Source organism: Homo sapiens, chromosome 6 (genome assembly GCF_000001405.40).
Source record: "Homo sapiens chromosome 6, GRCh38.p14 Primary Assembly".
Classification (NCBI taxonomy): Eukaryota; Metazoa; Chordata; class Mammalia; order Primates; family Hominidae; genus Homo; species Homo sapiens.
In genome coordinates this window covers 125,715,951-125,740,728 of record NC_000006.12, presented here as the reverse complement: position 1 = coordinate 125,740,728, position 24,778 = coordinate 125,715,951, and the positions used below count along the sequence as shown (strand labels likewise).

General features: G+C 37.3%; 2 long non-coding RNA genes across 12 annotated transcripts in view, besides 3 other annotated features; one reads left to right on the top strand and one right to left on the bottom strand.

The window, feature by feature from the left end:
* HEY2-AS1 (HEY2 antisense RNA 1) overlaps positions 1 to 24,778 on the top strand; it is a 171,898-nt gene that overhangs the window by 8,697 nt on the left and 138,423 nt on the right. For 9 of the 11 annotated variants that reach the window (NR_183491.1, NR_183490.1, NR_183500.1 and 6 more), the window contains one exon: positions 20,222 to 20,305. This is a non-coding gene — a long non-coding RNA (HEY2 antisense RNA 1). Of the gene's footprint in view, positions 1 to 20,221; positions 22,489 to 24,778 lie in introns of those variants that run through there. The other 2 variants (NR_183492.1, NR_183496.1) reach the window with 1 other exon arrangement.
* The window catches only part of LINC02523 (long intergenic non-protein coding RNA 2523), a 45,866-nt gene continuing 41,598 nt past the window's right edge, over positions 20,511 to 24,778 (bottom strand). The window contains exon 4 of the long non-coding RNA NR_038906.1: positions 20,511 to 23,271. This is a non-coding gene — a long non-coding RNA (long intergenic non-protein coding RNA 2523). The remainder of the gene's footprint in view (positions 23,272 to 24,778) is intronic.
* Positions 22,848 to 22,927: an enhancer, noted in NCBI's record as "active region_25029". NCBI's record gives its function as "activates an Ori minimal core promoter by ATAC-STARR-seq in GM12878 lymphoblastoid cells {active_cell/tissue: GM12878}" and the evidence as "EXISTENCE:reporter gene assay evidence [ECO:0000049][PMID:35858748]".
* Positions 22,958 to 23,017: an enhancer, noted in NCBI's record as "active region_25028". NCBI's record gives its function as "activates an Ori minimal core promoter by ATAC-STARR-seq in GM12878 lymphoblastoid cells {active_cell/tissue: GM12878}" and the evidence as "EXISTENCE:reporter gene assay evidence [ECO:0000049][PMID:35858748]".
* Positions 23,058 to 23,257: an enhancer, noted in NCBI's record as "active region_25027". NCBI's record gives its function as "activates an Ori minimal core promoter by ATAC-STARR-seq in GM12878 lymphoblastoid cells {active_cell/tissue: GM12878}" and the evidence as "EXISTENCE:reporter gene assay evidence [ECO:0000049][PMID:35858748]".

Sequence of the window (24,778 nt, the reverse complement as noted above, 5' to 3'; positions counted from 1 at the left end):
TACCCATTACTGGATATTGCCTCCAAGAATAATAATGCATGTGACACAGACATAAACAGTGTAAACAGTCAGAAGCAACACATAGGTTAAGAAAAAATTGCTTCCCAATGGCCATTTATAAGTGTGGTGTTTAGCATGCCAAACATTTATTCACAGAAACTATGTGATATGTGGCAGTTAGTTTTTTGGGTCTATTCTCATAACGCTTAACTACTCCACAATAAACCCCAGGAAAATGCTACACATTGGGTAAAGTATATATTGCTCAGGTGACGTGACACCAAAATCTCAGAAATCACCACTGAAGAACTTATTCATGTGACCAAACACCATCTGTTCCCCAGAAACCTATGGAAATAATAAAGAAAGAAACGCGCTTTGGAATCAGATACCACGGGGGCCGGTCATATTCAGCTGTCACTAGCTGCATGACCTTGAGTGTGCTACTTTTTCTGAAATCTAGACCTCATCCAAGAGGTTAATGATACCTAACAATAGAGTAAAGCTCAAATAGAATAATGCTTTAAAACTAGTTTGACATATGGAAAGAGACAGATATAGCTGACCTTTTTTTTTTTTTTTTTTTGAGATGGAGTTTTGCCCTTGTTGCCCAAGCTGGAGTGCAATGTCATGATCTTGGGTCACTGCACCCTCCGCCTCCCAGGTTCAAGTGATTCTCCTGCCTCAGCCTCCCAAGTAGCTGGGATTACAGGCACATGCCACCACGCAGGGCTAATTTTGTATTTTTAGTAGAAACGGGGTTTCAACATGTTAGCCAGGCTGGTCTCGAATTCCTGACCTCAGGTGATCCGCCTGCCTTGGCCTCCCAAAGTGCTGGGATTACAGGTGTGAGCCACCATGCCTGGCGATATAGCTGATTAATCCTGACTCCCAAGAACAAAGGACAAAGTTGCCTATTATTTTTGGTTTCCTCATTAAAAGCATCTTTTATTGCTTTTCTATCATAATATCAATACATGTTAAATGCAGAAAAATTAGTAAATCATGTTAGCAGTAATAAGAACATTTAAATTGCCACTTAATTGATAACCAGAGACAGTTACTGTTAATATTTCATTGATTTTCCTTCCAGCTTTTATGATTTTTTTTCCTTTTCACAAAATATGAGATCATTTTGCCTCATACTGTTTTGTAATCTGCTTGGACATTTAATGAGATGGACATTCCATCTCATTAAATATTCTTTTATAACATAATTTTCTCCCCTGATAATATAGTAAATCTTGGTATGAATGTATCATACATTTACTTAACTAGTTGTTATTATTGGGCATTTAAATGGTTACATTTTTTCTATTGTGGACCGAAGAAATGTATTGTGCTGAAGAAATCTTACAGGTTAAAAAAGTATACATGTTTTAGATTATTTTAAGTCTAAATTATTAGAAATAGTCAGGTGACCAAATGGTGTTCATATTTTAAACACTTTTTGATATTTTCTGCCAAACTACCTTTCATAACAGTTGACTAACTTATATCTCTGCCAGCAAAGTGAGAGTACTCAGTTCTCTGAATTGTCATCAATACTCGATAGTTCGATAGTTGCCAGCCTGATAGGTGAAACAGGATCTATCATTTTAATTTTAGTTTTTTCTTACTATTAATGATGTTAGAGATTGTTTTCATAGTTTTTATTGGCTATTTATACTTTTTTGACTATTAGTATACTTAATGTTTCTGAAATAATTGTCTTGTTATTAGTGAGTTAAAGGTGGTCATTTTAAATCAAGGCACTTAATGTTTGCCTCATATATCACAAATTTACATATGTATTTATTTCAGTTTGCTCTTTAAAAAATCTTATTTATGAACTTTTTGATATGCAGGTGTTGAAATTTTTATATTCTAATTTATGAAGTTTATCTGTTTTTTTAAATTATACTTCAAGTTCTAGGGTACATATGCACAACGTGCAGGTTTGTTACATATGTATACATGTGGCATGTTGGTGTGCTGCACCCGTTAACTCGTCATTTACATTAGGTATATCTCCTAATGTTATCCACTCCCCCTCCCCCCACCCCCAAGTTTATCAGGTTTTAATATTTTTCCCCACTTAAAAAAACTTTAGAATTTACTTTGGTATATTTTGTGATATAAGAGTTATTTTTAGTCCATTAATTCAAGAAAACATTAACTGCATGTGTACAATGTACCAGGTATCATGCTTTTGCCTGGGGAATAATTGGTGCATGACACAGGCAGAATTCCTATCCTCATGAAGCAGCTGCTCCTTCAAATGGCTGGTTGTGTCATTATCAACTGTTGATGCCCATGCATGACTTTTTCACTGACTTAAATGTCTGCTTCATTACATACCAAATTCATGTGGAGAACTGGGTCTGCTTAAAGACCTACTATTTAATTCCATTCATTTGTTTCTCTGTATCTGTGTCAGCATCTGTTTGAATTATTGTAATTTTAAAACAATGTATTTTAATAGTAAGGCAAGGGCTATCTTCATTCCTCTTACTTTTAAAATTTTGCCTTGACTTGTCTCTTGCATTAGAAAATATTTTTATTGTGGTATAATATATATACATTTGCTATTTTGACCATTTTTTGAATGTACAATTCAATGGCATTAATTATACTCACAATATTCTACAACCACCACTACTATCTATTTCTAAGATTTTTTTGTCGCCCCCAAACAGAAACTCTGTACCCATTAAGCAGTAACTTCCCGTTATTCATTCTGTCAAGCCCCTGGTAACCTGTAGTCTACTTTCTGTCTCTCCCAATTTGCCAATTCTAGATATTTCACAGAAGTAGAACCATACGATATTTGTCCTTTTTTGGTCTGGCTTTTTTCATTTAGCATAATGTTTCCAAGATTCATCCATGCTGTAGCATGTATCAGAACTTCATTTATTTTTGTGGCTGAAAAATATTCCATTGTATATATATATACCACATTTTGTTAGTCTATTCCGCTGTTAAGGACATTCCTTGTATTTATACTTTTGGAACAACTTTAGAATAATTTTGTTGAAACTCTCCCAAATCCCCTAATTTCTTCTTAACATCCTTTCATGTCCGTTTCTATCTCTATTACAATCTAGTAATGCTACTCAGGTTTTTCATACTGAGTATTTTTATCCTGGCCCAAGCCAAGTCTTGTACCCGATCCCCGAACCTCTCCTCCTCTGAAGCTACCCCATGCTTCAAAATTATTGACTTCCACCTTCGTTCTTCTAGTAAAAATAGGCATTCCTTCAGTGCAATTGATCTCATAGAGGTATTGGGAAGAAACAATCTGACCGAATTGTCCCTAGGTTGTGAATGTTACATCCTCTTAGCCCTCTTGGTGAAATGTGTATTTTAGGAAAAAGATGTTTGCGAATTTAAATTATTTTCTATTTTGTAGAATTCCAATAGTATAATAAAGTATCTTTTAAAATTTTAGTCTACACATGGGTAACATATTTTTGAATTGAGGGCCAGCTTCTTGCATCGGCTGCCCATACATGCTATCTTGAGGCATTCCTGTTTTTTTTTTTCCAGAAATTGTTTTTATTTTCACTAACGAATCCATTGATTTTATTTTATTTTGGAATTCCTACCATAATACTGACATTAGTGACCTCAGTGATGGTGGAAATGGGAGGTGGTTTGCATGTGTGATTGGCAGTGGGTAGGTATAAATAAGGTACTATTTTAAGATGAAATCTTCCTGTAGGTAACCAAATGCTCAGTTCTATATTGCAGTCCACAGATCAGGGATGGGAAAGAGCAATGAGGGTTGGCATGGCATGAGACAGCTTCATGGATAGTTCTAGAATAATTTATTTGGAAATATGAGTTATAGAACTTCTGTTCTTTTTAAAGGTAAAGATAAAATCCTAGAAGAAAGAAACTTAGATGGGTTAAATTAGTTCATCTGCTTTGTATATATAGTGGGAAAAGCATTGGTTTTGGAATCAGAGACCTGGGTTAAATTCATGGCCCTGTCACTAAGTAGCCTATGTTATCTAAGCCATATTAATTTTTCTCTCTGAGTCTTGGTTTCCTCAACTAAAAAATATACCTCACTGAGTTGTTTTAAAGATCAAATAAGTTAAATGTGAAACTCCTGGCAGTATATAGTTCATTGTATATATGCAATGAAGATCAATTTCCTTTTTCTTTCTTTCCTAAATGATAACAACAGTAGTATAGAGGAAAGATTTTCTAGCACCAAATGTCAACCCTGCTTGGATTAATGGCTGAATAAAGATAATGTCTTAACTTTCCTATGTGTAGCTTTCATTTCATGCTTCACTAAATTATGGTGGTTGCAAGGCACCTCAAACTTTTCTAGTACAGAGCATACTGTAAGCAGGATAGAATTAACATTATCTCTGGTCTATAAAGTATGGTACCTAGTGATTGATAGGACATATGTTGATGTTGCCCTGGGCCACATTCTTGCCTGAGTCCTGCAGCAGTGTTTTGCCACCTGTAACTGTGCTGAATAAAAGTGGTTCCATCTATCATTGCTGTAGCTTTTCCTCATAGAAACAGTCTTGATAAGGATAACAAATCCAGGACATCATAGTATCAACAGTCCTTTCCTCTTCAAAGGCATCTTTCAGACAAGGCTTTAATAGCCCTGCACAAACATTAATTATATAAACCTTGCACACTATTGCTTTGTGGGAGGTGAAGTGTTGAGTAAAAGTGATCATCGGAACACAGGTTGGCATATGGGGGCGTTATGGAAATAGGAAAAATGGGAAGTGGCTGCTCGGCATGTATTCATTGCTGATTAAAAGTCAGCAGTGTGGCGCTGGCTGGTCCTATGTATACTTCTGCTAGATTTCCTACCCGTGTATGAAATGCATGCCTTTCTTTGTTAAAGAGAAATTTGTGAGTGATATGAGCTGCTTGAATACTAAAGGTGTTAATTTTTATGATTAAGTCAGCATACTGCATACTCAGTGGCACCCTGACGTCTGGGGCTAAGTTACTCAGTATCATCTGATGAAGAGACAACCCCAAATTGAGCTCAGTCTGATTCCTGTGCTACATGGTGAATAAGAAACTTGACGGTTTATCATCAGAATATATCTTACCACCAGGAAATGATTTAGTGGAGAATAGAGCCTCAGTGTTTGTAGGAATAGTGTCTAAGATTTATATGATACTATCGTTGTTACATATAATATGTAGTATATATGTGTCTGAATTTTTTTTGTTTTATTTTGATCATAGTTTTGCATCATTAGTGATTCAAAATGGTAGTTATGGATATTTTTGGGGAAAAAAGCCGTTACTTCAAAATGTCTAAAAGAAATTACACACATTTATTTAAATCTTTAATAATGCTTTTTAGACTACCATAAATAATATATCTATTTATATCACAATGATGCTGAATACACCACTAAAAATGCCAACTCTTTTTAATGTTTCAGCACTGGTTATTTTTTACCTTTTAGGATTTCTTATAATTTATATGTCTTTGATTAATCTTTAATGTGGGAAAACAAATTAATTGTTTTGCGTTTTGATAGGCATTTTTAAATGTAAAATTAATATGAAAAATAATAAAAAGGCTGAAGTAGGAGGAATGCTTAGGCCCAAGAGTTCAGGGTTATAGTGTACCATGATCGTGCCTGTGAGTAGACACTGCACTCCAACCTGGGCAAGAACTTAGCATAGTACCTGGTACATGTCAGCATTCCATTGATATTTGTTAAATGAATTGGAATTACTATCATGAGCCATTTTCCTTGGTTGAAATCCTTGCTCATTTGATTCCTTGACTTGTTTCTGATAAAGATGATTTCTGCATTTTAAAAATCTTTGCATAATTCAGAATGGAAGAATTCTTTTTTTTTCTTCCCAAGAAAAGTCTTATTTCATAGTTACACTTGCCCAGAAAATATAGGAGCTGCTGTAATAATTGATAGGAACTACCTGTAGTAGACGTTAATTATCTTCCCAGCATCCATTACCCACTTTCCTTCCTTCCTTGCAGTATTCAGATTTTCCTTTGAAGAGCCACCCCTCCATGTAGCAGCCCTCAGTTTGGGTGAGATTGCGTGGACTCTAGTCCAAGGTGGATGCTGAATTTATATTACCCAACCAATCAGAACATTCCTCCGTCACTTACTATAGGCTTATGTATGTATGTGTGTCAGTTCCTAGGCCATTAGGGTGGTTTAGGAGGAGTTCAATCAGTGAGAGAATTAAGAGATGTGAATGAGAATACATGAGACCCACTTTCGTGGGAGACACATTTTGGAAACAGGAGGGAAACCTGAGGGTGACATATGGAGAAGGGCAAAACCTAGAAAACCACAGAGAAACAGAGCCAGGTCCCTGACTGAGCTGCCCCCGAAGCCAGTCCTACCTCTGAACTTCAGTGGTATGTGAGAAAGTCCCTTTTGTTTTATAACTAGTTTATTTTTGGTTGTAAAGGGGAAAAAATCTTAACCAATATGTAGCCTTATCTTGATCTTATTATTTTATCTGAAAATATTAAAATACTAGATTCTTCACAAAATATTTTGATTAAGTTTTTGCTTTTAGAAGGAGATACAATTCATTCCAAAAGCACAAAAGTTCTTCTCTGACTAGAAGACAAAGACGCATTTGTGTAGTTTAGATGACAAAGCCACTGGAAAAACTGGTAAAGTTTATAAGAAACTCATAAATGTTGTCCATTTTTTGATTATCACAAGTATCCAAGATATTATGGGCTTTTGCATGCCACATTCAATTCATCCATGTTTCACACACCTGATATTTATCATTGTACCCTGTAAGCACTGTTTGTTAGGAAAAAAACCCATTACAATGGAGGTTAGAAAAAAGATAACCATGTAAACAAAAGTCCATTCAGATTACCTTTGGTGAGTTGTTTTTTCATGCCAACAAGTCTTTATTGCTTTATATTCTGCCTTGGTTTCCCTCATTGTTCATTTTGAAACCTCCCAAAGTTAAACCTTCCGTGAAGAGTCATCCAAAACTGAGAATATATTTGGAATTCTGCTTCTCATGACCTAGTTGTATCGCAAGAGGGATCAAAGGGGTTTTGTTCTGTTTCTATAATCAGCTATTTCTTTGAGAGGGCAGATTCATAAGAGTTTGAATTATACTTAGCAATGCATACAAGGCAAGTAGCTACATGGCATTTTAATTACCTCCCTCCACTCCACTGAAAAACAATGCCAGGCACAAACAGATGTCCAAGGTTAAATTCAGTTTGATTCTCTTAACGTAGCAAATAATTTGACAGTCTCCTTTCTTCATAGGCTTTCTTTTTTCCTTTTTTCCAATCTTGGTCAGTTTGCTTCCCCACCCCTTCCTTTTACTTCCTAGGGATCTACCTTTTGCTAATGGTGAGATAATTTCTACTTGACAAATTTTTCTCTCTGCTAGACTTTATATGGCATAATATTAATACTCACAAAGGGAACAGATGGCTGTCTTTGGAATTAACCAATTATAGTAATACCTTGCTTAATCTGAACTGACTAATTAAAACCCTCAATTAACTGGTATTGATAATTCAACATATGTGACCTCTATGGTGACTTAATGATATAGTGAGTTTGCAAATGGGTATTTAGAATTTTTTTTCTGCCCTTTGTTGTAAAGAGACAAAAGCAAAGGGCAAAGAAACAGACTTGTCTAAGGACTTATTAAAACTCTTAAAAAACTCAAAGACTAATATGCAGGGTTTGCTCTAGGGTCAGTATACATTTAACCTAAGTTTTCATATTTTCAACATCTTTATAATCATCTGGATTCATCACTAATACTCTGAAATTTTTTCATTTTTCAATTTAATTTGATGAACATTTATTGACCTTCCAAAATATTCTAAATACTATTCTGTCAAAGCAATAAAAAATGAGTTTTCCAGTTACTATTGCTACCTAACAAATTACCCCAAAACTTGAAATAACAAGAGTCATTTTATTATGTATGATTACAGATTCTGGGAGACAGGAATTCAGAAAGGGCTCCAATGAGTGATTATAGCTTGGGGTGTCTCACATGGTTGTAGTCTAGCAGTGGTTGGAGCTGGAACAGCAGGGGGCTTGTGCAGCTGAGGACTCTATAGTTGTGTAGCTTCAGAGCCTCTCCAGATGCTCTCTCTGAGCTGACTAGCTTGGGCCTCCTCACAGCATGGCAGCTCTGAGCAAGTGTTTGAACTAACAGTATAGAAGTTATGTCACCTTTATGACCTTTAGGAGCCTTGACAGTCATGCAGTGTCAGTGCTGCTGCATCCTATTGATTACAAATGAGTCACCAGTCCCTCCTAATTCAAGAGGAGGGGAATTAGACTTTGTATCTCATTGAGATAGTGGTGAGGTTCTAGAAAAGCATGTAGGACTAGAAATATGGTCATCTTTGGAAAATATAATTTTCCATAATGCACATCTTTTCCAAAGAAGCTCACAATCTAGGATAAACACATGATTCTCAACCTGCATATTGAGACACCCCAGATTTCTGTGACAAACTCACAGGGTAACTGAAGGATATTTTATATTTTTGAGGGAAACAAAGCGACATGTGTCACACCATGTAAATTACTTCTACTAAGTTGTTTGGCCCTAATTACTCAATAAACAGAATGGTTAGGCATTTCTTCTGTCCCATCTATGCCATGAAAAAATTACAGAAACACTAAAAAATTATAGCGACAAAGAAAGTTTAGGAAACTATGAGACAAAATCAAGACATAGGAATGCGACTACAGTTCTAGCAGGCCCATAACTAACATTTGTAGGGTTCAGGGCATGAGTACAAAGGGAGCCACTAGCCTGCCCCTTTCTCTTCCCCTTTACTTTTGTGAGATCACCTGCACGTGTGCATGGATAGCCCAGCTTTCATCTCCGAGCTCTGTACTCTCTCTCTCTCCCACCCTAAAGAATAGCCTCTTCTTCATCCTGGGAATGAGCGTACCAGAGGCAAATCAACCCTCTGGAGGAAGGGTCAGGGGAAGAGGTCCATGTGGAAGCAGACTCAATATAGATTTTAGCAAGGAATTCTGGAGTTACAGGTACCCAGAATGTGACTTAGGAAAAGATACCAGGGACATGGATAAGCATGGGCCCTTGGCCTTGCAGACCCTCAGCTCATTTGGAGGAATGTGGATGGAGGGGCCTTTTAAAATATTTAGAAATACAGGTCCTAGGCAAGGCCTGGTCTAAGAGTGGTCCTGAGACTCAGCACAGACCCCAGCAAACAATGGATCCTCAATATATATTTGATAGATAAGTTAATCTAGGGCAGATTCTGATAAATATGATAGACAGAGGTAAATATTGGCTGTTGTGGAAATTGAAAAGAGAACCACTAATTCTGACTAGGTACCTTGCAAAGGTTTCTGTGTATATTGCATTCAAGGATGAGGGGGAGGAGGAGAAATGGGAAGGGAAGTCTGTAAACTGCAGGGATTAATGAAGCTGCTATAGGCAAGTGTCAAAAGAACACTAAAATTATGCTCACTATCAGGGTGAATCTGGGCTTCATAGCATCCTAAAGCCTATGCAATTTGAGAGGCCCTCTTTCAAAAAAAAATAATGCAAAGGTAGGTACAAAAAAAATCACAAAAACAAATTTATAAAACCTCACAAAGCTACAAATCCAAAAAAAATCTAGAAAATTTATTTTTTCATTAATTAACCATCTGCCACACCTCTATACTATTTTTATACTGTTTTTGGCTGTATACTCTTTTATTGCCTCTTTGCTAAATATCAATTATATATTCTGTAAAGAAAATGGAAATATAACTTACTCTAGTATGATTTAATATTTAAAAAATTGTTGATAGCTGACAAATTTTTAGCCTCATTATTAGTAATCTGTGAAATTTTATGACTTGTCAAATTGGGAAAACCTCTTATTATATTGTTGAATTGTTATAGGCCTACTCTGTTTTCGGTATAGTTACGGATTTGTTCCCTTCAAACCTAGTAACTCAGATAAATTCTATTTCACACAATTACCATAAATATATGAGAAATCTGAGATTTTATAATTATATATACTGCACTATCAAAACTATTTCTGATAAGGAAAAAAATCTGTTTTGATTAGATTTTCACAACAACCAAATTCTCTGTTAAAATTATACACACGATGATTGGAAGAATTTTCTACAGATTAGCTTCTACTGGCTTCACGCAGTTTAACCTTGCCTCTCCTCCATGACTTTGCTGTTACAGCTGCACACCATAGGAATTCACCACTGGCCCACACCTTCTTGTCAGGAGACTGGGAGATGGCATAGTGGGCAGTAAGGGTATTCTTGGAATCTGTTCCTACCCAGGGTTAGTTGGCAATAACTTTAATGGAAGTATCTGTACACTTAAAAATATATGACACTATATTGAGATCATATGTATCCCCAACAAAATAAACCACTCCTTAGTCATATCATCAAAAAGTACATAGCTACCCAGTGCCACTTAGTATGTAGGGAAGTTGGAGTGGAAAGAGAGAGTAGAGTGGCCTTAACCTGTTGCAGTTAAAAAAAAAATAACTTTCGCAAACTGTACAAAAGTCATGTGTCCATGTGAACCTGTTGCTTTGCAAAGGGTGTGTGCAAATTAGGCACTTGAAGCTTAAGCTTCATTCACTTACAGTCACCTCTGCTCACCACTCTATATTCATGAAGGCAGAGGAGTAGCCCAAACTGAGAAAGAGTATCCTGTAATAGAAAGAACACTGGACTGGAATCGAGAGGATTGGAGCTTTTGTCTTAGTTTTTCCAGGCTCTGTTGATTTGGGCCACCCTCTGGAATTTACTATTATTTGTTAAGTCTTAGCCTTTCCTCATTTACAAAAGGAAGTGGGAAATATGAAACCCTTAGAGGTTCCACCTGTGAGATAAGTCATATTAAATTATGCAAATTATGTACATTTTAATCCATATTGTTTCCATCAGTCCTGCCATTTCTATAACTCTCGTTAATGTTATATAAGCACTGAGCAAGAACTTAAAAATAGTCTAACTCTGCCATAGAGAGATGTATCACCAAAAAGGCAGTGAAATGGGAGAACAAACAAGTTATCATTCCGAGTGCTATCACTAAAAGTACATTGGAGCATTTTTTCCAGTTAAAAAAAAATGTTTCAAGAAAAAAGTTGCAGAAGTCACACAGCTTCTTATAAAAACAATTTGAACGCAGACATTTACACAGCAAAAAAATAGAGGTCTCATCTCCAAATTTCACTACAGAGGTGAATTACTGCTAATCATTGAGACAAGTATGTAGCCTTCCAGAGCTGTTTTATACACATACAATGGCAGGATGACATTTTAAAATATTAACTGAAGTATTTTTTCCCTCTGTGTTTCCTAATGGTCCTGGCCTTTTACCCATTCCATCAGCACATTCTGCATTCATTGCCTCAGAGAAAAGATGACCCAACTGAACGTATTATAAAAAGGGAGCCAATAACTTTTCAGTGTCAAATTTTTGAGTTTCTAGTCCTTGTGGGAATAGAAAAAGACAGATCATAAAAGGAGATTTGGAAGAATATATGATAAGTCATAAAAAGTCTTAGAGATTTCAAGATTAGATAAAAAAGATTTCAATTCTTAGGAGGAGAGAGAGGAAAAAGTACCTCTGGCAATTTATACTGCTTCTTTCCAAAAATTAGCAAAGCCCTATTTTGGTGACTAAATTGCAATGAGATGCCTTGCTGAGTGGATCCTTGCCAGAGGCAGTAGCTTAGAGAGCTGACAACACCTTCATGTAAAGACAAAGGCCCCTCCTTTTTCCAGCAGCCCTGGCTTTTTGCCAAGGGTCCTGACCTTCTAGATTTCAGCCCCAGTCATTCCCAAACAAGTACTGTGTGCAGTGTTCAAACCACACAACTGTATGAAGTATGCTTCCTTGTGCATTCCTGAGAAAGAAGGTCCTCTGCCCTGTTTTCCCAACTTAGAGGAACTTGGTAGTGGAGAGACGGACTGAAGCATGCTTAGAGAATCTGAGGGTAGAGAGGTTGTGTCTGCTTTCCCGGTAGACCTTCAGGCAGGGGTGGTGGCAAGGCCTTAGGAGCAGGAGACAAGGCAGTAGAGTGTGTTGAGACCTACTGGGACTTAGACAAATACTCAGAATTTCCTGCAGCCTAGCATGAATGAAATGACTCTTGGAAGCGCATGAAAAAAGCTGAGAAAGCCACACCTGGGAAGAGGAGGACACAACAATGACTTGCATGATCCTAAGATGGGTGACCAGACTGGAGAATCTATCTGAGGACATGAGTGATAGATGACAAGACCAAGGACAAGATGTCCCCTTGCTCCCATATTGGTGCTATAGAAACTTTCCTGGAACTCAAACACATTAGGAATTAAATTTCTATCATCACAGAAAAATTGAGTTAAAATAGAAAATAAGCTCATTATCTTAGCCAAGTTACATTTCTTGTGCATTTGAGTTTGTAAACTGAGATTTGTACTACATTAGCATTGCAATGCTAATAAAATTGCATGTATATTTGACAACATACCTGGGACAGTCTTCTATATCAGCACATATAAATCTGCCTCCTTTAAAAATGTCTTCTTAAGATGGCACGATATAGGATTTATCTAATCATATGGCTGGATGTTTAAGTTATATCAATGTTTCACTCTTTGGAATGTTGCAGCAGTAAATACTCTTTTACATAAACCAACTCTTATGAGCACAGCCTCTTTAAACAATCTTTTTGTGTACCTAGATACCAAGTGTTGAATTACCTTCCAATTGGAAACACCTCCTCCCCTACCCATATGAGAGATCATATGCTAAAACTCATGTTCAGTTTTCAATTATTTTAGCACTCACATTTTTATCAAATAAAATAGCATGTAATGAAATATGTGGCAAGTCTACATTTCAAAGAAATAAAGTTGAGGAAGTCTGAACGGGAGAAGGTAGAAGTCCAGAAGCTCTGCTGCTCTGCTGAAATTTCTCCCCACCTTGGGGACTTACCTTTCCCCTGCCTCTGCCTGTGAGTCAATTTGAGGAGACAGGGCTGGATGCTGCACCCCGCCTCATGTTCACTGGTCAGGAAAATCACAGACAACATTTAGGATTTGGGTCTGGCAAAGCCAGTTAGCCCAGGTTTGCTTTATGGCTTTTTTGACTCCTGCTTCTGTGATTTAATACCAAGTCTTGTAAAGTTAGTTGTGTTTTCTTTTGTCTTTCCATAATATATAGTATACAACTCATTTATAGCACTTACCACTTTGTTCTTTCTTAAAAATGCTGTTCCAGAAGAAGAACATTTCCTTACTTAGCTTTGAGATCTACAGCACTTATTCATAAAATTTGGCAAGGACTAGTTTTTCCATAAGGCCTTCTGAATGAATACATGAATCACACATTTGCTTAACAACTTAAATATAGTAGACACAAGCTCATCTTCAAGAATGTAGATACTTTAAAAAGGTACAAATGTACCTATTTTGGTCTCCTCTTGTCTTCTTTGAACCAATTATACAGGTCTGTAAGTGTTTCTGCTTTGGAATGGCCAGTTTGCTTTATATAGATTCATTGAAAGGGCTGGAATTGACCCAAAGGTCCCCCATTATATTCTTGCAGCCACCTTTGGTGGATGATATAATGAAAGCAGCGTATGTACCTATAAAAACTGCTACTGTATATGAAGATGGGCTTGGGAAATGTTGAACAAAAATGGAAATATGTCTGCTTTTTACATCTGAGTGAGGAGAATCAAAAGCTGCCCATGCTACCCAAACTCTCAATTTTGTTACCAGAATGAGCGGGTGGGAGACACAAGAATGAAAGAAATGAAGAATGAAACACAAAAGGAAATAGAGTGGAGAGCACGTGATAACTGCCAAATACATAGTGAAGGAAATCAACCACATGAAGATAATATAGTTTCTTTCTTTAAAATTTTTATGCTCACATAATTTCAGACCTGTACGTTCTCAAAAAGATGAAAATTAAAAGTTGCTGACATGATGCCACTTACCTGTAAATATTTCAGGTCTATATCCTAAAATCAAGAACCTTCTTTTATATAACCAAGTGTAATATTAAATCAGAAAATTAACATTAATACATGACTGTTACACAGATTTTTCAACTTGTTCCAATAATTCCCTTTTATAAACAACAAACACAAATGACAACAACAACGGATTACACATTGCATTAAGTTTGGTCTCCTTTAACCTGGAATAATTCCTCAATCTTTCCTTGTGTTTTATGGTACTGACGTTTTGGAAGTGTACAGCCAGCTATATTGTAGAGTGTTCCTCAATTTGAATTTGTCTGATGTTTCCTCGTAATTAGATTCAGGTTACACATTTTGGCAGGAATTCCACAGAAGTAATGCTGTGCCCTTCTCAGTGCCTTGTCTTAGAAGGTACACGATATTGAAAGGTACCATTACTGATGACGTTTAATCATTTGGTTAAGGTGGTTTCTGCCAGATTTCTCCACTAAATAGTTACTACTATTTTTTTTCCATTGCAATTAATACATATTTGAGAGAGAAACTTTGAGACTATGTAGATATCCTGTTGCTCATCAAATTTACACATTCTAGTTTAGCATCCATGAATGATTCTTGTCTGAATCAATTATTACAACCATCGTTGCTAAATGATGACTTTACAAGTTCATCATTCTTTTCATATTTATTAATTTGCTTTGTACTGTAAGAAGGAGCTTTCTCTTCTTTTATAGGCATGTATGTATGTATGTGTGTGTAGGTAGCTCATTATGAACTTACGGATTCTTATTTTATTCAATGAGTTATAATCAGTTACTGTCATTATTATTTTGATACTCAAATTTCCAAGATTTGACTAATGGGAAGCCCTTTAACATGGCTTTTTGGCTTTTTCTTATGTACCCACAATTCTTTGAACACTTTCTTTTTTTTGGCTTATTATTTCTTTTTCTTTTTTTTACTATTATACTTTAAGTTCTAGGGTACATGTGCACAATGTGCAGGTTTGTTACATATGTATACATGTGCCATGTTGGTGTCTTTGAGCACTTTCTTACTTTCCGGCACAAAAAGATATTCCAGACTCAAGTTGTACTTTCCCTGCCCTGGATATATTTTAAGGGGAGTATGAGTGTCTTTTCTTCTAGGCCTTCTCAGCAGACAGAGCTGGGAAATGGAATTACACAACACACACACACACACAGAAACAAAATGTATAATCTTAAGTTCGTACTAATACCTCCAATTTCTAGTCAAAGCCACAGAGATCAAAGCCTTCCTCCTGTTCATATTTGTAACACTTTTGACAGTGAGAAAGCTGACTCCCATTGATTGTAATATATTTACTTATTTGCCTAATCCTGGCATATACAGAATGTAGTTTCAAAATTGATAACTCATATGCCTGTGAGAAAAAACCCACTGATTGGACTTCTGTAATTGTTTTTTTTTTTTTCTTTTTTTTTCTGTAATTGTTATCAATTCTTTTTGTCTTTAGCCTGAAGGTATACAGTCCAAATATTCCGCTCAAAAGTTCCTTGAGTTAGCCCTCCCTGGTCCCATTTGGTTCATTCATTTGTTTATGTTCCTTTCGTTTTTTTTTTTTTTTTTGAGACAGAGTCTCACTGTGTCACCCAGGCTGGGGTGCAGTGGCACGATCTCAGCTCACTGCAGCCTTGATCTCCCAGGTTCAAGCAATCCTCCCACCTTAGCCCCTCAAGTAGCTGGACTATAGGGGCACCCCGTCACACTCAGCTATTTTTGTATTTTTTGTAGAGACGCGGTTTTGCCATGTTGCCCAGGCTTGTCTCGAACTCCTGACCTCAAGCGATCCACCTGCCTTGGCCTGCCAAAGTGCTAGGATTACAGGTGTGAGCAATCGCGCCTGGCCTGTTTATGTTCCCTTTTTGAGGTCTCTCCCCCATCTTTACCTTCTTCAGCGTGTGAAACATTAAACGGTTTACAAGTCAGGATTATATAAAAAGGGGTGTCATTTTCCACCTTTCCTATTATTCTTTTTACTTAGTTTTTGCTGTATCTGCCTTTAGGCATATGTGTATTTTCTAAATTCCTCTTTTTCTTACATAAAAATAGCTTACTATAGATATGCTTTACTTCTTTCAACTAACAATATATTCTGGAAGTCATTCCATATTAGTTCATAAAGATCTTACTCATTCTTTTTTTTTTTTTTGAGACAAAGTCTTGCTCTTTTTGCCCAGGCTCTGGAGTGCAATGGTGCTATCTTGGCTCACTGCAACCTCTGCCTCCTGGGTTCAAGTGATTCTCCCACCTCAGCCTCCCGAGTAGCTGGGATTACAGGCTCCTGCCAACATGCCTGGCTAATTTTTGTATTTTTACTAGAGACGAGGTTTTGCCATGTTGGCCAGGCTGGTCTTGAACTCCTGACCTCAGGCAATCTGCCCGCCTCGGCCTCCCGAAGTGCTGGGATTACAGGCATGATCCACCGTGCCCGGCCGATCTTACTCATTCTTTTTTTATAATTGTGTAGTACTCCGTTGTGTGGATATACCATAGTTTATGTCACTACTCTCCTATAAATGGGCATGTAGGTTGTTCCCAATATTTTACCATTATAACCAATACTGCAATAAATAATTTGAATAATATTGTGCAGACATATTTTTGTGTTGTTGGAGGTATATTTTCAAGGTAAATTCCTAGAAGTAGGATTGCTGGGTCAAAAGGTAGACATATGCCATTTTGTTAGACATTGCAAATCCCTGTCCATAAAGAGTTTTGTGCATACCCACCAACAATGTATGAGAGCACCTCACCTATAATTACTATATGATAGATGAGAAATATTATCTCATTGTGATTTTAACTAACATTTATCCTATTTATCTTATTAAACCTTTTTGCCTTTGGTTTTATATATGTATGAATGATATATGTTGCAGATATTTTCTTCTAGTTCTTTGATTGTCTTTTGATTTTGCTTTTTTATGTTTTTTTGTCATGCTATTTAAAAATTAGATAGTCATACTTATCAATGTTTTTTAAATTGCATCTGGATTTTGAGACATTAGAAAGCTTTTGCCTACACTCATGTTAAAAAGAAATCCCTTCATGTTTTCTTCTGGTACTTTCAGAATTTCATTTTTTTAACATTTAGATATTTAATTTATTTGAAATTTATTCTTATGATATCAGGTAAAGATCTAATCATTTTCTAAATGGCTAGCCAGTTGTCTCAGCACCATTATTTAAAAGTCTGTATTTTTTCTGGACCCTTGAGGGGCACTTTTATTATAAACTATCTTTTGGGTCTACCTGTGTGCTTTCTATTATGACAATGCTGTTTAATAGAATAATACTTAGTTATCCCATGGAATAAATTGAATATTTATGAAATAAATATGCTCACCTTTGAACATTATTTTAGAGTGACCAACTCTATGTTCAGGGAATTGTAGGTTTCAAAATCATTGATTCTCTACTTGGAAATTTCCTTATCTGTAATTCATTGTTTACCATTCACAGGACTCTCTCTAGCTAAGCCATCTCAGAGAGAGGGGAATTTACCTTGGTTAAAAAAATATCCAACTCAGAAAGTTTCCTAACAACTATAGACACTGGTCTAATGTTTGCAATTGAATTTGGGAAGTCAAGGAAGAAAGAATAAATATAAGAGCTGGATTTTCCACTTAGTTGGGTGATTGAATTAGCTGACCTTTAAGGTCTCTTCTACTCTGAGTTTTATGATTCCATGAATCATTCCTCTGACTTGGGCCAAGTTAGTAATGAAATGGCAAGGGAAGTGTGGTGGTCAAAGGTGAGTTGGAGATGTGGTGAGTGGGTGAGAAGAAGGGTAAAAGGGGAGGGATTTTAAATAACAGAGTATAGAATTAGGAAATAAATAACTTTTTTTCCCCTTTCAACACCTGGTATCATGGAAGAGGGAGCAAAGATGTGCATTTATGGAAGGAGATATTGGATGGATAGGGAATGACATAGGGGTGATGGTGTGGTCATGATAAGGATGGATATAGAGAGTCGGACAGGATTTTGAGGATAAATAAGATAACAAAAGCATCACCTTCTATTGCTCCAACAGTGAGAACAGAGCAGCTATGGGTATGCACAAGGTCTTTAGAGTGTTTTTGCCTTCTTCCAATCTCATGTGCTTTGGATAAGACACTCTAATTTAAAACCTATACAATTTTCTGAATAGAAACAAATACACTGTATTTTGGAAACTATGTTTAAATTTTAAGGCCATTCTCAGGGGAGAGACATTAAAGGAAAAAATTTTTTAAAGAGCTTCTCTATATCAAGGTATTTATATGAATAGACTAAAAATATTCTGGCCAGGCACAGTGGCTCACGCCTGTAATCCCAGCACTTTGGGAGGCCAAGGCGGGTGGATCACCTGAGGTCAGGAGATCGAGACCAGCCTGACCAACATGGAGAAACCCCGTCTCCACTAAAAATACAAAATTAGCTGGGCATGGTGGTGCACACCTGTAATCCCAGCTACTTGGGAGGCTGAGGCAGGAGAATCACTTGAACCCGGGAGGCAGAGGTTGCGGTGAGCCGAGATCACGCCATTGCACTCCAGCCTGGGCAACAAAGAGTGAAACTCTATCTCAATTAAAAAAAAATTCTGAAGCAGTTTATTGTTATTTAACTGTTCAATCAATGGTAGGAGATATTTTCCTTCACTAATTCAGGTGACTAAGGATAGGCTGAATTTGTGAATTGTTGCATGTGAGAGTGGATGTGCCAATTTAATTTTCTTAAAGAAATCCTCAATACTATAAAAGACCTGAAGAGTGAGAATGAGAGCGGCACTATGGTGACTGGAATGGGTATGCCATGTTTGCCTGTTATTGCAACAATAATAATTAGTCAAAAGATTCACTGGAAAGTTTGAGCTTTTATGCTGCTGTGATGGAATCTTTCTATTATCACAGGCGTGAAAAAAAAGAGAGTAAAAATTTTTGTGCAAGCAGCACTATAGTAGTACATATAAGGAAATAATGTTTACCTTGAAATGATCCCATGTTTTGCCCCTCTGTGTTTGGCTAACTTGGCTTCACTTTACTCAACTTCTGAATGGCTGAGCTGTAAAAGGTAAAAAAAAATCCCCCCATCCCAGCCTGCTGTTTCCCGCAGAGCTCTTTCATTCTGCATCGAGCAGAGGGAACAACACAAATGTCTTTTATTAGCATTTTGGCTCTTATTTCTCTTTTCTTTTGGACAAATGCATTAATTTAACCAAAATTTATTGAAAATCTACTCTGAGCCTTGCACAGGAATAATTTTCTACAGTACTTTTCACTGGATAATCTCATGAATATTTATGTATTTTATTACTGTCCATAAAAATGCTCCACATATAAGCTCCAAGAGAGCAGGAACTTTGTTTACTGTGTTATTCCAATGCCAGAGGAGGGTCTAGTCCACGATGTGCACTTAATATTTATTTAATGAATGAACATATGAATTAATGATAGACTGAATAAAGAAAATGTGGTGCATATACACCATGGAATACCATGCAGCCATAAAAAAGAATGATATCATGTCCTTTGCAGGGACATGGATGGAGCTGGAGGTCATTATCCTTACCGAACTAACACAGGAACAGAAAACCAAACACCACATATTTTCACTTACAAGTGGGAGCTAAGTGATGAGAACACATGGACACATAGAGGGGAATGACGCACACTGGGGCCTACTGGAGGGTAGTGAGTGGGAGGAGGGAGAGGATCAGGAAAAATAACTAATGGGTACTAGAGTTAATACCTAGGTGATGAAATAATCCGTACAACAAATCCACGTGACACAAGTTTATCTATGTAACAAACCTGTACATGTACCTATGAACTTAAAAGTTAGAAAAAAAGAATAAATGGATGAATGGAAGGGGATATAAGGATGAATAAGATAGAATATTTTACCTCTAAGGATCTCACAGTGGTGAGGTAAGGGTGGCAGTAGACACAAGACAAATAATTGTAAAACAATATGGTAGTTCAAGTGATGGAAAACACGCAAGAGATTTAAAAAACCCATTTCCCAGCCTGGATTGGAGGTCAGTGTGATGGAAAAAATATATAAATCTGACTGTATTATTAATAGCACTTGTATAATTTTGTTCACTTTTTCTTGTCTCCACTAGACATTCATTGACTAGTCTCATATTCCCTAGTCTCTAACATTTTTATATTTTAACTCATTCAATTTTCATAACAATACTTGGAAGTAGTTACAGTTATTGTTCCCATTTTACAGGAACAAAAACGGAGGCACAGAGAGGTCAATTGATTGGTCTAATGACACAGATCTAGCAAGTGGTGGAACCAGGACTGAATCCAGGTAACTTGCTCCTGATGTTTGTCCATTGGTGCTCTCATACTTTTTTCCCTCTCTCTTCCTGTTAGAATGTGCTTCCAGGACTTTGTTTACACTGGGGAATAGGTGTCTAATAAACTTAACATGCGTTTATTACGGGGGTATTTACAAAAGCAGAAGCATTAAGACAAAGGAATAAACCTCTAATTGTAGAATTCTAGTCACCAGCCAATGGGCACATTTTTTTTGTTTATTTTTGGGAAAATAATCTTTAATAATGCTTCTCAACTCACATCACTCTATCCACTCAATTATTAAAGATTTATTGAGTACATAATGGGCATGTCACAGCTTGTGTTTTCTGGAAGCAGTCACCGAGATGGAATGCGGGGTGCCGGATATTCATTAGGGATCAACACCTGTGAAAAGGAGTGGGTAGAGACAGAATTGGGCCAAGGGAGAAGTCACTATCCAGAGTAGGGCTGAGAAGAACTTGGCCCACTTGATAGGGAGCTCTGGAGTCAGAATTGGCCATCAGAGGGGTCCCTGATTAGCTTCAGGCCTTTGTCCCCTTCACTCTCCCCTCTTTGCCCCTACCCCCAACTCCTTTCTCAGTTATTGGATACCAGCATGACCTGAAATGAAGCAGTTTTTATTTACAGCTGAGGCCAGCTCTTACAGAGCTGATTGGAGGCTGGAGGCTGACTGCACCCCAGCAGCTGAGCAGCAAGTCCTTTTTTGAAGGGGGATCTAACACATCTTTGTCTATCACAAGTTGCTAGACCCTGGGCTAAATGCAGGGAACACGCAGATAAAGAGGACACAATCCCTTTGCTCAAAAAGTGATTGTTCCATCTGATTTATCAGTGGTTACCTGTAACGATTTTTCCTTCCAATAATTCTTGATTGCTCAAGGCCCTAGTTGAGGGTTTTTCCTGTTCATGGACAAATAGCAACGGTATAGTAAAAATAGCACAGACAGACCTGGGTTTGCCCTTGAGGAAGTCATTTTTCCTGAGCCTTAGTTTACTTATCTATATGATGAATATGACCATATCCTTTGGAGAGAGTTCTAGAAAGGAGACAAGGTATTTATAAATTTCCTAACAAATAATTTTAATACTTAGTAAGTGATCAATAAATGGCAGTAATTAGTTATAATATATTATTACTACCCTACTCATCCTCACTGACTGCTACCATTGGCCATAAGTTTCCTGTGGGCTTCTGCCATCTCTGTCCTTTGTTTTGACCAGTACCTCTCTTCTCAAATATGTCTAGGTCCTCACATTATATTTCAAAGCTCTTTATCTCTCTGCTTCCTATGAGTTGACTTCTGTCTGCCTTTCCCACCCTTTCTGCCTCCATTTTTTTCCTTTCTAGGAAAATTTTCCTTAATGCTTCTATTCCATCCTTAAGCTTTATTGCCTTGGCTACAACTTATGTCTAAGAAGTGTGCACTGTTTGGCTCAGCAGATATTCTTACATATCAAACCATTTTATTTATTTATAAATTCCTCTAGAATGACTAGAAAAGGCAGCAAATTCTCATTATCCTTCACGATTCCTTCTTAGCTATTAGCATGCTTTCTATTTGGCGTACATATACCATTCATAAGAACTCATTATTAGGGCCAGGCGCGGTGGCTCACGCCTGTAATCTCAGCACTTTGGGAGGCCGAGGCCGGCGGATCACGAGGTCAAGAGATCAAGACCATCCTGGCCAACATGGTGAAACCCTGTCTCTACTAAAAATACAAAAATTAGCTGGGTATGGTGGCAGGCGCGTGTAGTCCCAGCTACTCGTGAGGCTGAGGCAGGAGAATTGCTTGAACCCGGGAGGCAGAGGTTGCAGTGAGCAAGATTGTGCCACTGCACTCCAGCCTGGTGACAGAGCGAGACTTCGTCTCAGAAAAAAAAAAAAAAAAGGAACTCATTATTAGGAACAGAGAACCATTCAGTTGTAAAGCCAGAAGTAAGGTTAAGAACTTTTGGCCTCGTCTTTCTCATTTAGAAGTAAGGAAATTGATCCTAGAAAAATTAATTCAAATACTCATATTTACACAGCTAGTTAAACAGACACTGGAACCCTGGTAATTAAAGTTGTTCAGCTGTATGCTATCTGTCTATTCTTTGTTTTCTGTGTCAATAATGCCATATTGTTTTATGTTCCTAGAGTACAAATAAATGAATCAATATAGTCACCAGAGAATGACTCTAAGAGCTTAATAAGCACATGAGGGTAGATGGTTCTCACTCACACGGTTTTTTGGTAGATGAAGCAAAGCCTTTGGAAACAGATGAGAGTAAGGGAGATATCATTGTTTTCTCAATTGGTCACCCCAGAATGAGGGGAGATGGGTTGGTCTTGAGCAGGAAGTTGTCTTCATCTTCCTTCTTTCTTCTTCCCTCTCTCCACCCTTCTGCCAGGGGTCAAAAACCACAGGCTAGGCTCTCTCTCTCAGATAATGCTTCAGGAAGAATTGGGGCCAATTGCTCAGCCTCAGGTTCTCACCATCTTCAATCCTAGATCTTAGATAACAGTTTTCTAAAGCCTTCCTTTAGGATGAAGACAGGGCCCTTCTCAGAGCAGATTGGAAATGGACCCCTATATGTCCAGCTAGTGCTCTCAAAGCCAAGTTTCTCTGGGGAATTCACACTCAATCCAGGATAGAGAAAGGGAAATAATTCCAGTTTTCTGCTGATCAAAAAGTTTTACCTGGGCTTGGATGGGCACAGTCTAATAAGGTAAATAATTCTTGGTTGTCTGTCTTCTCCCTAAAACAACTCACAGAACTAGTGGCTTCAGAGGGCCTTGGGGCTCTCCCTTTATTCAGGCTGTGGGTCACGGTGCTCTTTGTTGACAGTTTAATGTATATTTAGAAAAGTTTAGTTCGGCTTGGGCCAGTTCCAAACCACAGACCTTCTTTGCATTCTTGCCCACTCTACTGTGTCCTTTCTGTTGGATTTGCAGAGGAGGATGAGACAGTCTGGAAAAAAAAATTCTGTTTAATAATAATAATAATAAATAAATTTGTCAAGTTGTGAAGTTCATCTTTAAGTCAAAAGCTACATCCCAAAGACCACTTACATGAGAAATTACATTATCTCAGGTGTTTCTGAGTGATGAATTTTAGGCTTACACAACTGCCTCTGAATAACTCAACAAGTTTCAAATTGAGTGTCCTTTCAGTATAATGGTTGTTGGGGAAATTTTTATTTTCATTAATTTTTAAAGTAACAGGTTCAGTGAGCATATCTTTTTCATTATTGTATGAAGCCCAAACACTGTTTTCCCCATTAATTGATGATAATATGGTTTATATTATTAAGAGGTTACTGGGAATATAAGTGGTAATTTTTTAATTCTCAAAAGCCACAGAATTTTAACTTGCTATTCTTCATAGTACCTAAACAATGAAGAGGTCATTGAACACTTTGTCCCTGTTATAAACATCTGCTTACAAGAATGGAATGGAGATTAATAAATGAACTGTCCTGGGCCAAGAATGGTGGCTCACACCTGTAATCCCAACACATTGGGAGGCCCAGGTGGGAGGGTTGCTTGAGCTCTGGAATTCGAGACCAGCCTGCACAACCTAACAAGACCATGTCTCTACTGAAAATCAAAAAAATTATCCCAGCATGGTGACGTGTGCCTGTGGTCCCATCTACTGGGATGCCAAGGTGGGAAGATTGCTTGAGCCTAGGAGGTCAAAGCTGCAGTGACTCGTTCTGTCACCCAACTGCACTCCAGCTTGTGGGGGGAACAAAAAGGAAAAGAAAAAATAGAAATGGACTGTCCCTACTCTCCTAGAATTTACAGTCTGGAAAGCAATCAGATGTTTCACATCAGAAAGGCATCACCTCCTTATGCACTGAAAACTTTTGTTTAATAAGATTACATTGAACCCCAGGTAAAAATTCTTAGAGAGTGGCCAAGAAGATAAATGCACAAATATTTCAACCTATGTTGAATATGGTGATGATTGATTAATAACTCTCACTTAAGAGGCTTAGAGAAGAAAAGTAGAAATTTTCACAAAGATAGCTCTTGTTTTTGAGATTGTAGTTCCTCCTGTTCTCAAAAGAAACCTAAACAATGGCCTTTGGGCTTTGGTTCAGAGCACAAGTATTTAATCTGGTTGCTCCTGGAATGGCCTGAGAAGTCACAGTGGGCAGGGAGGGAATGTTGACCTGGCTTCATTTTTGCTTACACATATTCAAAACACTTCTTTTCATAGGCATTGAAGATATTTTATTTAAAAATATGAATTAATAAATAAGAACAATGAAAATGTCAAGAAAAGAGGCTATAGCTGAATATCAAGGAGCCCATATTGGCTAGATCTGCTAACCTCTGGAATAGCATCTCTAAGGAAATATAAGAAGCCCTGCTGCTTGATATCATTTCAAACCAGAGGGACTAATCTGATAGTGAAGCAAAAGAAAACCATAGCTTGCACTAACAAAAGAATAGATGAAAATACTTTGTAA